Here is a 12829-nt window from a genome sequence, read left to right on the forward strand (position 1 = left end):
GTTTATTTCATAAAATAAAATTCTGTGAATACCTTTTGAGTGGGAATCAGAAAGGTTATTAGGCCCTAAATCACAAATATTTTAAGTGCTTCAATTTTACATGGATATAATTAGCCAGAAGGTAGAATGACCCCTAAAAATTACATTATTTGCTGTATATGATGGCACTTCCTTGGGAGTATATCCATTGCCCTATATTTCCATTTAGTTTGTCCCTTATCCATGTCTTCATTCTGTCACTCCAATTTAGTGCTCCTTCAAGGCTTTCTTACTTCTATCAATGGTGTCATATTTTAGTCTTATCATTTTTGTCCCTTTTATTATCCATATTTATTCAATTGCCACTCCAGGTATGGTTCCTTAACAAGTCTTATTTTTTAAAATATGTTTTCAATTTAATTGTCGTGCATTAAAGGTCATAAACTCACATTTTTACAAAAGTTATCTAAGTAATTCAATTTCCCCCAATTTCCCTATTCTTTGGTTAAATTTTCATTCCACTAAAAAGATCATAAATTTTAAAAATATCGTTTTCACTATCATTTCTCTTTTTGGAAATTCGTTATTCAGTATCTACAGAAGCAGTGACAGATTATAGTTAGGTCCCTATTGCCTGGATTAATTCCAAGTTTTTAAACTAATTTCAATTTTCACCTCTCTCCTTTAAAAACTATTTATGACCTACTTTCTTGTCTTACCTATATCAACAATTTTAAATTCAATCATTTACTTCTTTCTTTCAGTTTTGCTCAATGACCTCCCCACATCGTATTTCCATACTTGCTTTCATACCTTTACTCATTCCGTGCCTGTCATTGCTATAATTTCATTTTGTTTTTCTGTCTGTTAACAATCTACTCTTTGGGGCCGGGCACGGTGGCTCACTGCAATCCCAGCACTTTGGGAGGCCGAGGCTGTTGGATCACGAGGTCAAGAGACCAAGACCATCCTGGCCAACATGGTGAAACCCTGTCTCTACAAAAAATTCAAAAATTAGTCAGGTGTGGTGGTGAGCACCTATAATCCCAGCTACTCGGGAGGCTGAGGCAGGAGAATCACTTGAACCCGAGAGGTGGAGGTTGCAGTGAGCCGAGATTGCACCACTGCACTCCAGCCTGTTGACAGAGTGAGACTCCGTCTCAAAAAAACAAAAACAAACGAACAAAAAAATCTACTCTTTGGGGTTATAGCTTCTTTTTAAAGCAGTTTACTCATCATTTTATCCTAGTTTTTCTTCACTTTCACTTTTTACACACACTCACATTATTGCTAATATGAGTATTTACAGTACACTTCAATCAGGGTGTGCATAGGGTCATACTGATTCCCTGTATGTTATTTCTTACTCAACCTTTTACCCTGTTTTTGAAGAAATATCTACTTCAAATATAATTGTAACATAAATATTCATCTGATTTTTTTAAAGCTCACAAATATCAGTATTTTAACAATCAGAATGTTTTTAAAAAGTGACTCAATATTTGTATGATTAATGCTATAAGATCATGGAAAGAAAAGCCTACTTTTTTGAGTATAATTTTGATATTCCAGTGCTATATTTTCATTGAATACACAAGAAAAGAAGGGATTCTATAGAAATAGACATCATGTAAAGAATATATGCCTTGCTGTAAACACTGAATAATCAAAGGATATCCAATTTAGATTTTATATTAAAAGACAGACTAACTTCTCTTTCCTTGATTGATCTCAGTTTACTTTACCTTCACCTGATCTCATCACTTTCAGAATAATGCAGAGCATCACACTATATCTGAAGCATTGGGAGAAATTTTTTAAAAACGGTATGCATATTAAATCATTGACTGAACTCTCAAGGGTTAAAATGTAAGAGGTTTATTCTCCTTTTATCAAGCAGTGTCTACAGACAGAGCATCCACATGGTGTAAGCTACAAAAGAAGGATGTATGCGACAGACTTACATGAAATCATTAAGTCACAGACACTTTATATGGTTCATGTTCACAAGGAAGAAAATTGCTAAAAAGTAAAGCAGATTCAATAAGTAGAAACATAAGCTGATTTTTGTTGTTTATTAAATCTACCTCGCATGTTTCTGCTAAGAAGAAATCTACTGTATCACACAGCTCAGGATGCTATATACACATAAGATATTACACACTATAAAATTTCAGGTTTCTAAGCAGTTTTATACAATTTAAACTTGAGTAAAATTTGTATATTTAAAAAAGACCTTATTGGATTACCTTAAGTAAATGGAGGTCATTTCAACAGCCCATTAACATTTTTTTGCAACAATAAAAACAAAAATAAGTACAAGGATTTTCAAAACATGTAAGCTATTACTTTAAGCCTGGATAATTATCTGCTTATTTTAATAAACCAGCTCTCTAGTTTTAATCTACTTCTGCTGGCCTTCTCATTTCCTCTTAAAACAAAACAGAAGCAACAATTTTTACTTTTCTACAGTGTCTCAAGTAGGAGGATTCGTTAGGTTTCAAACTACAGCACATAGTGAGAAGATGCTTTTAGGATTACAAGAAGATGGATAAAAGGAATCATTTGTGGAAATTTTAGAATAAAGGTTTTTGATACATTATATTTAAATAGCAAAAACAATGGAGTACTACATTTTTACTTACCACTGTCGGGCTACCCCTTTATTCCCAACTTATATTACTAATTCTTCTAAGCCACTAATACCTCATCAATTCTCTTGCCAGTTTTCTTTTCCTAGGTGTTAATTTCCCTATATATGGTTTACTTTAGCAGACAAAAGTAATGTTTCTTTTTTAAAACCGAAAGTTCCTGATGATGAAACATTGGACTATATGAAAAGAAACAATCTATTAATAAATAATCTATTCTGCTAGTAATAAACATCTGTAGGCAGTTGACATCCCAGACAAACTTGCATTAAAAACATAATGCACTCTAGTGATTGAAAGCAAAATGAGTAGATAGATTGCAAATATTTTGACTGTAATTATTTTTCCTCCCTTCCTCCCCACTTTCTATAGCATGCTGCAGATTATACAGTAAATGTCAAGTGGAGTTTGACACCTGTATACAACCTAAGACCAACTTATGCCTTCAATTGGTAGTTCATTGAGGGTTAAACAAAAGACTGAAGACAGGATTTGGTGCAAGAGATGTTTTTTAACAACAAGAGATTTATAGTTATGAGAGCATTTAGTATGCAGGCTTTAGTCTTCCTTTTCCTCCTGTGACATTCCCTTCAAGGCACAAAATATTATAAACAGTGGACAGGACCGAATATTTTGAATTAAGAATTTTAAGTTTCCACAACACCTTTTATTTCTTGTTTAATCATACCAAAAGGACAGAGAAAAAAAATAAACTACCCTCAAAATGAAATAATGCTTTATGTCATCTGAAATTCCCTGCAGTTTAGTTTTTTAAATGATTTAAATCCTACTTTATTGTTTAAAGCATAATTTACATATTTGATTCTTGTGACTGATGTGATTTCTCATTAAATATTGTGCTGAGTATTTCTAATTAACCAATATAATTAATTGTGTATGTCTTAGTCACTTAGTCAAAAACAATTTATTTTATTTGGACCAACCAAGTAAATTTTGTTTGACTAGGATATAAACTTGGAAAGTTAAGTTGTAAATTTAAACAATGGATTAAGTGCAATGTATTGTAAAACGCTTCATTCAATAATTGTATCGTAGGGTTTTTAGGCATCTCCAACCCAAATGACTGTATTTCCTTTTTCAACTTCAGTGATCTCACAGTTTAATTTATTGAGTCGTCCATCTAGGATGAAGAGAGAGTCCTTGGAAGGTGTCATCAGGTATTGACCAAACAAGCCACTGTCCTGGATTTGCCTGTTTTTCCGGTTCCAAGGCCATTCTTCTGCCTTGAGTGGTTCCTTGAGACTCTTTATCATCTTGACCTTCCCAGAAGAGAGCTCCACAAAGAGCACATCAGTTTGTGTGCTTGAACTACCGTAGATGTTATATTGGTGGGCTTCAGTAAAGGATGGTTGAAATGCCAGATCAGATATGTGCAGATTTGTGTAAATATCAAAAGCCTCCTGTATTTCTCCTCTGATGGTAATGTACTGAACCCTTACAAGACCTTTCACATCATTAATGCTGACAAGGTAGTGGCCATCTGGAGAGACATATGGAGTGCCCGTCACATCACTATTGAACCCAATGACTGAGTCAGTTACACCGTCCACCATGACCTGTGGGGAAACTGCTCCGGTGCTGTCAGGTTTGCAGCCAATGAAGTAGTAGCCTCCCAAGTGTGTATATGCCAATGACTGAGGAACGCACTTATAGTCCTTCAAGTTAATTGTCTTGATGTATGACATGGTTTCAAGATCAATTTTTTGTAGTGCAGCTTCATCTTTATGAAGAATAAATCCAAACCTGAAAAAAATGAAAATCAGAGTTAGACAGGAAGCAATGGAGTTTTTAGCCGTAAGAAAAAAACTAGATACAGGTGGAAAGGTCCATCGCAGGCTCTAATTGTCAGGCGAGGCAGCAATTTGTGTTACAATTGTGCTAGAATTAATCTGTAGATTGTGCCACTCTCCTTCTTTCTCTAGGTCATTCTTTCATTACATCCAAATCATCATAACTCATGCTGTAGAAAGAAAAATAATTAAAAGCAATACATCTAGTTAATTGCAGCAACAAATTTTGCTTTTAACATAGTGGAAAGAAGAAGTATACATTATTCTGTAAGTCTCTAGACCATGTAATATTAAATAAGCTTGGTTAACTATTGCCAAACCCAGCAAGAGTAAAAGGCTCGAATATATATTGGTTTCACTCATTTCATTTACTTCTTATATTGTTTTTTGACCATTAAATAAATCTGACACTCATCATTATTTAGATAAATTTAAGTATAACATTTTTCAACCTTTCAATGTTTATATGTTATTTTTAATGATATGCCTGCATTTTATTTGTTATCCTATACTGAATAATGAAGAACTTTATTTTTATATTAAAGCCAATTAAACAATTGTTTGTTTGTTTTGTTGACCTTAAATTAGTTCAGAACTTTTCAAAGCATATTTGCTAAATATTGCTTGAGAATTATCAGAGATACCTGTGGCAAGTATAAATATATTTTTAAACTCACCTAGAACACAAGCAACTTTCTAGCAAAAATAAGTTAAACAAGATACAATGAGATAGAAACTATTAAACAAAATTAAACAAAATTATATCCAAAGTAGATATTGGCCAATAGAATTGTAAAGGACTTTTATTTATGTTTGCATTAACAATATTGATTGTCACCTTCTAATAGTTCTAAAAGCTCATAATAAAAATAAGAGAAATATTTTTCCATTCACTGTGTTCATAAGTAATACAATGAAATTACCTTATTATGAGTATTAAGATAAAGCAAAACAAAAACTCTAAAGAGAGCCAATTATGTTATCATCACCTGTGTAATTATCTTTATGCTAATTATCACACATAATTATGACATGTAGTTTTATTTATGTAAAAAATGACCATTTCTACACATAGTACAAAATATGGTGCAATCAGAGTAATATCTCTTTAAAATTTTAAATGTCAGCATTTAGCAAGCTCAAAAATATAAATAAACATATATTAAATATCATAGAAAAATAAAATATTCTCAAAATCAGTCCCGTTTTGCAATTGCAGAAGAAAGGGAGTGCCTACACACAGATGTTTTACGAAAATAGACATAAAATTGTAATTGTTTCCATTCTTCTTACATTAAATATAGTTGACAAACCATATTATAATTTTAGCTACATTTAAAATTTATGAGGAGACTATTTGCTGTCATTGGAGAGAGTACAAATTCTTCTATATGAATGAAAATTCACAGTGTATAGCTACTCCTTTATAAAACTTTCTTAAATATTTGTTAAACAACTACTAAATGCAAGGCACTGGGAATATATTGCAGATCAACATAACTCTCCCTGTCTCCAATGAGTCTAGACATTTTGAGTGATAAAAAAGTGAAACAGGGCTAGTGAATAAAGCTTGATTATAGCATTCTGCTATACTATTACCTAATTTTGTAACTATTTCTTGTTCCATGTATTTGAAATGGCATAAAGCAATATATTTGAAAATAATATTTTGAGTGTATTTCTGAATGATGCCCACCACTTGTAGCTTATTTGCTAACTGTTTATCTTTTCTGTGTCCTTAATAAATGTGTTTGTGTCCTTTCAGTAAACCCAGCTCATACCATACCCATTCAGGATAAATTTCAGTCTTGATTATGATGGTATGAAGAAACATTCATACTGTTGATAATTACTTATATTTTCATTAAAATATTAATGCCTTGTGTGTAAACATAGTGTAGTTTTAAAATCCTATCTGAATCATAAGGAATAAAAAAGCTTCAAACTGTCAACTGAGTCCCATATTTCTGTGTCTCTGCATCAAAAAATCATAAACATCATAAGTACCACTATGTAATCTCAGATTTGTCTGAAAAACTAATGAACTCCATTTACTATAAACAAACATATAACATTTTTCTATTAATGGACAACCATTAAGGATGTATAGGTGTGTAAATATATTGGCATTATTTGCAAAATTATGAATTATGTTGAAAAATATCCTTCTGTTATAATTTGTACATGAGCTCAGAGGAAAAGCAGTACTAGGCTCACTGAATAAAAGCAATAAGCCAATCAAGCTTTGGCATTTCAGCTCTCCTCTTAACCTTGAGTCTTCTAGTCCCTTTAGGCTAGATTTTCAAATGCTAATGAGGAAGAATGAGACAAGCTCTCTTTACTCCTGAACAATTTTAACTTTGATACTACCGAATGTACTCAAGTTTTCTGTGATACAATCTAGCTACTTTTGGAAGTAATTAAAAATTTAAAAAAATGGTCCAGTTAAAAATGCAGAAGATCTTTGTGGGGTGATAAAATTACATCTATTTTAGCATCTGCATTGTATGCTCCTTTAGGGCTGGAGATGTAGCTACATAAGCAGATGCATGAGAATGCCTGCAATTTTTCACTGCTGATTTATTGATTAGGAAGTGGTGTCTCTAATTCAAAATTTCCCCTAGTACAGATTGATATTCAGAAGTCTCCCACTGTTCATTAGTCTCTGATTAATATTTACGAGGCTCTCAACTTTCATGCCTGCTTAGTATAATAAAATCCTGCACAGTATTAGGCCTAACATAGTTTGTCTAGTATTTGTCAGAATGTGTACAGAAAGTTGCAGACTGAGAAATAAGAGAGTTAAAATTGACTCTCAAAATTACTGCTTTTTCTAGGAAATTAATGCCAATAGAAAAGTGTGGGCTCTCAGCATAGCATGGTATGGATTGTCAACTTTGGTGAAAAGAGTTATAGTTATTTCTTCTTTCCAAATCATTTTCTCTTTCTGAATGTCTAATCAAAGTAGTTTATTATAAAGTTCATAAAAAGGCTCAACTTTAATTACTGCTTTTATGATTTAAGCTAAGATCCTGAAATGATTCATTTGAAGAGACTTGTTTTGGATGAAGTAAGGGCTTTCATTCCAAGCTAACTTATTTTCATGATCCAGATTTTCAAAATAATAGACCTTACATAAATGTGACCTTATGTAAAGTCCTTGACTTCCACGAGTTCCAATTTCCTCATCAGCAGGAAGAGGATAAAAGTACTACCTTGCTCTGAGGATGACAGTAAATGTATGTATACTACCAGGCATGCAGTAGATTCTCAATAAATAGAAACTGCCAGTCCTTTACACCATGAGTAGCATTATTTTCCAATTATTAATCACATAAAACATTCTCTGTGGGACAACAGATTATTATAACCCAAGGATGAGAAAAATACCACAAACTTATTATCAATTTTTCTGTGCAGGTAATATTCTTACAACGTTAAAAATAAATAGTGTTACCCAAGTGTGGCTATAACTTTCCATTCATGTATATTAGAGAGATCACATTGACAATAAAAACACATGTTTTTATTCTTGCTCTCACTTGTACCAACAGTGTCTATGTCCAGTCCACATATTGGTTTATCACCAAATATCTCACATTGTTAAAAATAAAGACAGTCTAGCTCACTCTACCTCCACCTTCACTAGAGGCACTGCTTCAGTACTTACTGAGAACATGGAGCAGTAGGCTATGGGGTACTAGGTGAACCTGAGCTCTGCACAGATGATGGGATTTAAAATAGATCCTCGGCTTACCCAAGAATTTTTGCTAAAAGTCACAGAAAATTTTGTGGCTTACTTTAGGACCTGGATATCAAAGGATATGGAGAGGTTGCAGTCAGCATTTATGTCACAGCAATTCAGGAGACTTGTAAGGGAAGTTATTTGGCCGAGGAAGGAAGAGAACAGTATTTAGGGATGCATGGTTGAAAACCACAAAGCCTGATAGAGTCAGTGCTTGAAGGTCTTCACATCCCCAAAAGCCAGGCAGCAATTCTTGCAATTGAGTAATGGATGGTTTCCCAAGTCCTTTACTCAGTCCCTGGTCACAAAGTCTCATAAAACAGGGTTCCAGGCCTTGTCACCTGAGCACTTGCCACGTTACAATGCTCCTATTCTCTTTTCAAATTAGTCACCTGAGATGCTACTGAAGAAATCTCATGATTGCAAGCAATTCCCTGTGTCAACTTGTCATGGTCACCACCAAGAGCAATGTCCTCATATGGTCCCAGATACATTAAAGCTCGTAAGTATAGAACTCTGGAAGATTTGCAGAATAACAATTATTCTATCTCCTGGCTTAACATAGCACTGCCTGTCTCCAGAGTCCTTAGAACTTCTCATCTCAACAGTTCTTCTCACTACTGACTTTCAATGTTTACCCACTGAGGCTCAATCTCCATACAAACAGCTGGGAAAGGACCAAATGCTTCCTCTCCATTCCTGCATGATCTTACTCCTCCAACCCCATCATCTACACCACCTCAGATTTCAAAACAAGCCTTCGCACGCGCATTAATTGTTGCAAATGAAAAGTAGTGAGGGGTGATTAGGTGTATTTGAGGAATGGGTTAGCCAAACACTCTATCCTGTTATAAAAACCAACTGTGCTGCAATTCACATCTAAAACAAAAGCATTTTGAAAGCTGTTCCGATGTCCCAATTATTAAAGTCATATTCTTTGAAAAAAAATTCCAGAACCACAGAATTTGAACAGCCATAGGAATTTGTATTATGGGAATTTTACTTGTGAAGGCTTAAATCCAAAACACATGATTAAGTGGTTAGTGTTTTATAAATAAGTGTGGGTCATATTATTAATATCTAGCTTTTCTAATTGGATTATAAATGTCATGTTTTCTAACTGAAAGGTAAATGCTGAACATATAAGATGCTATAATCATAATTCTTCCCCTACACATAATTAATAAGTAAACCCACTCAAAATACGCTGTTTCAATGACATCTTCCATTATGTTATAGCTGACACAGTATTTTCATGGACATAAACCATAAATCTGACATGAGCTATCATTCATTTATGAATAAATGAATATAAAGGAATTTATATTTAGTTTTTTCTATTATCCCACACCAACCCTTGTAAGAAAAGATTGAATGTCCTTCCTACTCAAGTACCAGAGGATTCAGTTTTTATCTGAACATCATCACATAAATAGTTCAGTAAAACATACCTGTTTATAAAGGGTGGTCACATTCATGTTTGTGAGAGGGGAAGCAGAGAGAACTGGAATTGCCACATTTAGTAAAGATTTATTACAAGAGCAAGGACAGTTTCTGAATGGTCCTAATGCTTAGATGTGTTTGAGAAATGATAGCACTTTGAAGTTTTCTGTTTCCAAAGCATAGGTTAAAGAAGCTAAAATAAACCACAGGCTATTCTCCCACCTGAATAAGTACATCATAGAAATTCTACATTAAACGTTTTAGCTATATTACTTCTTCCCTAAATTTCACTTTTAGACTTTTTTTCCTTAAAAAACTAGAATGTGCTTCTAAACATGGAAGTCCTTATTTTCTTTCAGTATTCTATTTATTCTGATATGTAGGGACTCTAATTGTTCTAGGCAAAATCAAAACCGAAATCCATAATTTAATTATAGTACATTCAAAGTGTCCAGTTGCTTAACAGGATTAGTATTGCAGTATAAAGGTCTACCACTTCTAGTGAGTAATTGGGACATATGGCTAAATCAGATTTTTAAATTTTAATTAATTTTTTTTTTTGAGACAGGGTTTCACTCTGTTGCCCAAGCTGGAGTTCAGTGGCCAGATCTTAGGTAACTGCAGCCTCTGACTCCTGGGCTCAAGGGAATCCCTGCCTCAAACTCCTGAGTAGCTGGGACTACAGGCATATACCACATGCCTTGCTAATTTTCGTATTTTTTGTAGAGATGGGTCTCGCTGTGCTGCCAAGGCTAGCCTTGAACTCCTGGATTCCAAGGATCCTCCCACCTTGGCCTCCCAGTGTGCTGAGATTATAGAAATAAACCACTGTACTCAGGTAAAATCTGTGTACATCATATACATTGTAGATTGTATTTCAAATATTAAAGCCCTCTAACTCTTTTTCAGGAGATTAAGAGCTTAGGACATGAAACTGACAACTATGTCTTAAGGTGGCATTTTATAAAATTGGTTGTTCTTCCTAATTTGGGATTGAAAAAATAACCTGAAAATCTGAAAAGAGTAGCTTCCCTAAAGTCACTCATTTTTCTGATTAATGTGTGTTTTATGCAGGAGTTGATAAATGGGTCAGAGGTGGCATAGAAGAAACAGAGTAAGCAATTAGAAGAATGAGAAAATGTTTATAAAGTACAGAGGTAAAAACAGAAAAGTAAGATGAAACAAAGGCAAACGCAAGGCCGGGCGCAGTGGCTCACACCTGTAATCCCAGCACATTGGGATGCTGAGGTGGATGGATCACTTGAGGCCAGGCATTCAAGACCAGCCTGGCCAACATGACAAAAACCTGTCTCTATTAAATATACAAAAATTAGCCAGGTATGGTGCCATGCATCTGTAGTCCCAGCTACTTGGGAGGCTGCGGTGGGAGAATCACTTGAACCCGGGAGGCAGAGGTTGCAGTGAGCCAAGATCAAGCCACTGCACTCCAGCCTGGGCAAAAGAGTGAGAATCTGTCTCAAAAAAAGAAAAGGAAAAGCAGTTTTAAAATCTATTAATTAATCAAAAAATATTACCAATGTGTTCATTTTATACATGCAAGAGAGAGATAGTAACTGAAAAAAAAATTTATGAAGAAACAGGTTTTGCATGAGTTGGATTCTAGATACCATATGACCAAATTCAATAATTATGCACAATCTACTATGTGTGTACACTGTGTAAAACACTATGAAGGAAATGGAGAGAAAATAAATGGTCTTTATCCTTAAGGTAAACTACAGTCAAGCAGAAGGGTGCTTATATTCCTATGCCCTGACTTTCAAAGAGTGTTTCCGGAACCTCTTCGAAGATGGGAGAAGGGATGGATGTAGCTACATCCCGGCTTCAGCTAGTAAATTACATTTTTGTTATGTTAGGCTTTCATTTGAAGAGAGAGTTTATATTGGTCTAGATGCCAGAAGGAAAGGGCAAATTCTAATTGGAATAAATCAAGAGGGGCACAATAAAGTGACTATTTTCAGAGAAGTGTCAACTGACCACAAGGGTAATGCGGTAATATGAGGAGAGTAACAATGAAGCTGTTACCACTGCTGGTCCTGGAAGAAAGGAGCTATTTGCAAATGTATGCTTCCTGAGGAGCTGTGAATTCTGATCTGAGGAAACCACTGCTCTCCTATAAATGAGCAGACAAGGAGCCAATGGTGGGGGCTAGTACTCTGGTCCCACTCCTTGCAATCTCCAGTCAGGCCTCTCATTTTCCAAACCAACAAGAAACCATATTAGCGAGCCTTTTGGGATGGAGGGCAAGGTGCAGAGCAGTGGCAAGTGTATCTGGGGATGGAAACGCAAAACAGCAGTCACAGAGTTCCTTAGCTAAAGAGTGTGAAAAACTAAAGTCTAGTTAATGTATAGAGCTACATGGAGTGAGGACGTGACATGTATATTTAATTTCTAATAGGGTTCATTTGACAGCTGATAAAGAAAAATTGTATCAACTTTGCAAGTGGGGAACATAAATTGTTTTAACTTTTGTTTTTACCTGAAATGAATATTTAGGTAACATTTTCTTACTTCTGGTAAAGTTTTAGAAAATGCTTCTTAACATTTAATTATAGGTAAAATACCCATTTTTTGTTTTGTTTTGTTTTGAGACAGAGTCTCACTCTGTAGCCCAGGCTGAAGTGCAGTGGCACAATCTTGGCTTACTGCAACCTCCACCTTCTGGGTTCAAGTGATTCTCCTGCCTCAGCCTCCCAAATAGCTGGGATCACAGAGGCGTGCCACCGTGCCCGGCAAATTTTTTGCATTTTTAGTAGAGACAGGGTTTCACCATGTTAGCCAGGATGGTCTAGATCCCCTGACCTCGTGATCTGTGTGCCTCAGCCTCCCAAAGTGCAGAGATTACAGGCGTGAGCCACTGCACCTGGCCAATACACGTAATTTTAATAACCATGTAGTAAAGGTTACACATATGATCAATACTAGTTAATGTATTATTATTTTCCAATTACCCTTTACAATTTCTCCAGACACATTAAAACTGCATGAGTAATTATTGCTTACCAGACTATGTAATATACATAAAATAGGTTGTAATATATGTTTAGAAATTTATCTGGATTTGCTATTTTTAAAAAAGTTTATATTTTGGTTTGCATGTTTTGGGATATGTGCAAATTAGGGAAAATAAAGTCAAAGTTGTGTTTTGCTTTTAGGGTCTTCAAATTATCTCTAAATAA

General features: G+C 34.7%; 1 protein-coding gene across 4 annotated transcripts in view, besides 1 other annotated feature; it reads right to left on the bottom strand.

Moving 5' to 3' along the window:
- Nucleotides 1-1841: 1841 nt before the first annotated feature.
- The window catches only part of FSTL5 (follistatin like 5), a 780104-nt gene continuing 769116 nt past the window's right edge, over nt 1842-12829 (bottom strand). For all 4 annotated transcript variants that reach the window (NM_001128428.3, NM_001128427.3, XM_011532126.1 and 1 more), the window contains one exon: nt 1842-4394. In NM_001128428.3, the coding sequence (NP_001121900.1) occupies nt 3692-4394 (703 nt within the window). In that variant the 3' untranslated portion in view covers nt 1842-3691. The remainder of the gene's footprint in view (nt 4395-12829) is intronic.
- Nucleotides 11446-12000: an enhancer, noted in NCBI's record as "OCT4-NANOG hESC enhancer chr4:162314653-162315207 (GRCh37/hg19 assembly coordinates)". NCBI's record gives its function as "activates a minimal SCP1, AML or CMV promoter by ChIP-STARR-seq in naive H9 embryonic stem cells {active_cell/tissue: H9 hESC(naive)}" and the evidence as "EXISTENCE:reporter gene assay evidence [ECO:0000049][PMID:30033119]".

This window comes from Homo sapiens, chromosome 4 (genome assembly GCF_000001405.40).
Source record: "Homo sapiens chromosome 4, GRCh38.p14 Primary Assembly".
NCBI lineage: Eukaryota > Metazoa > Chordata > Mammalia > Primates > Hominidae > Homo > Homo sapiens.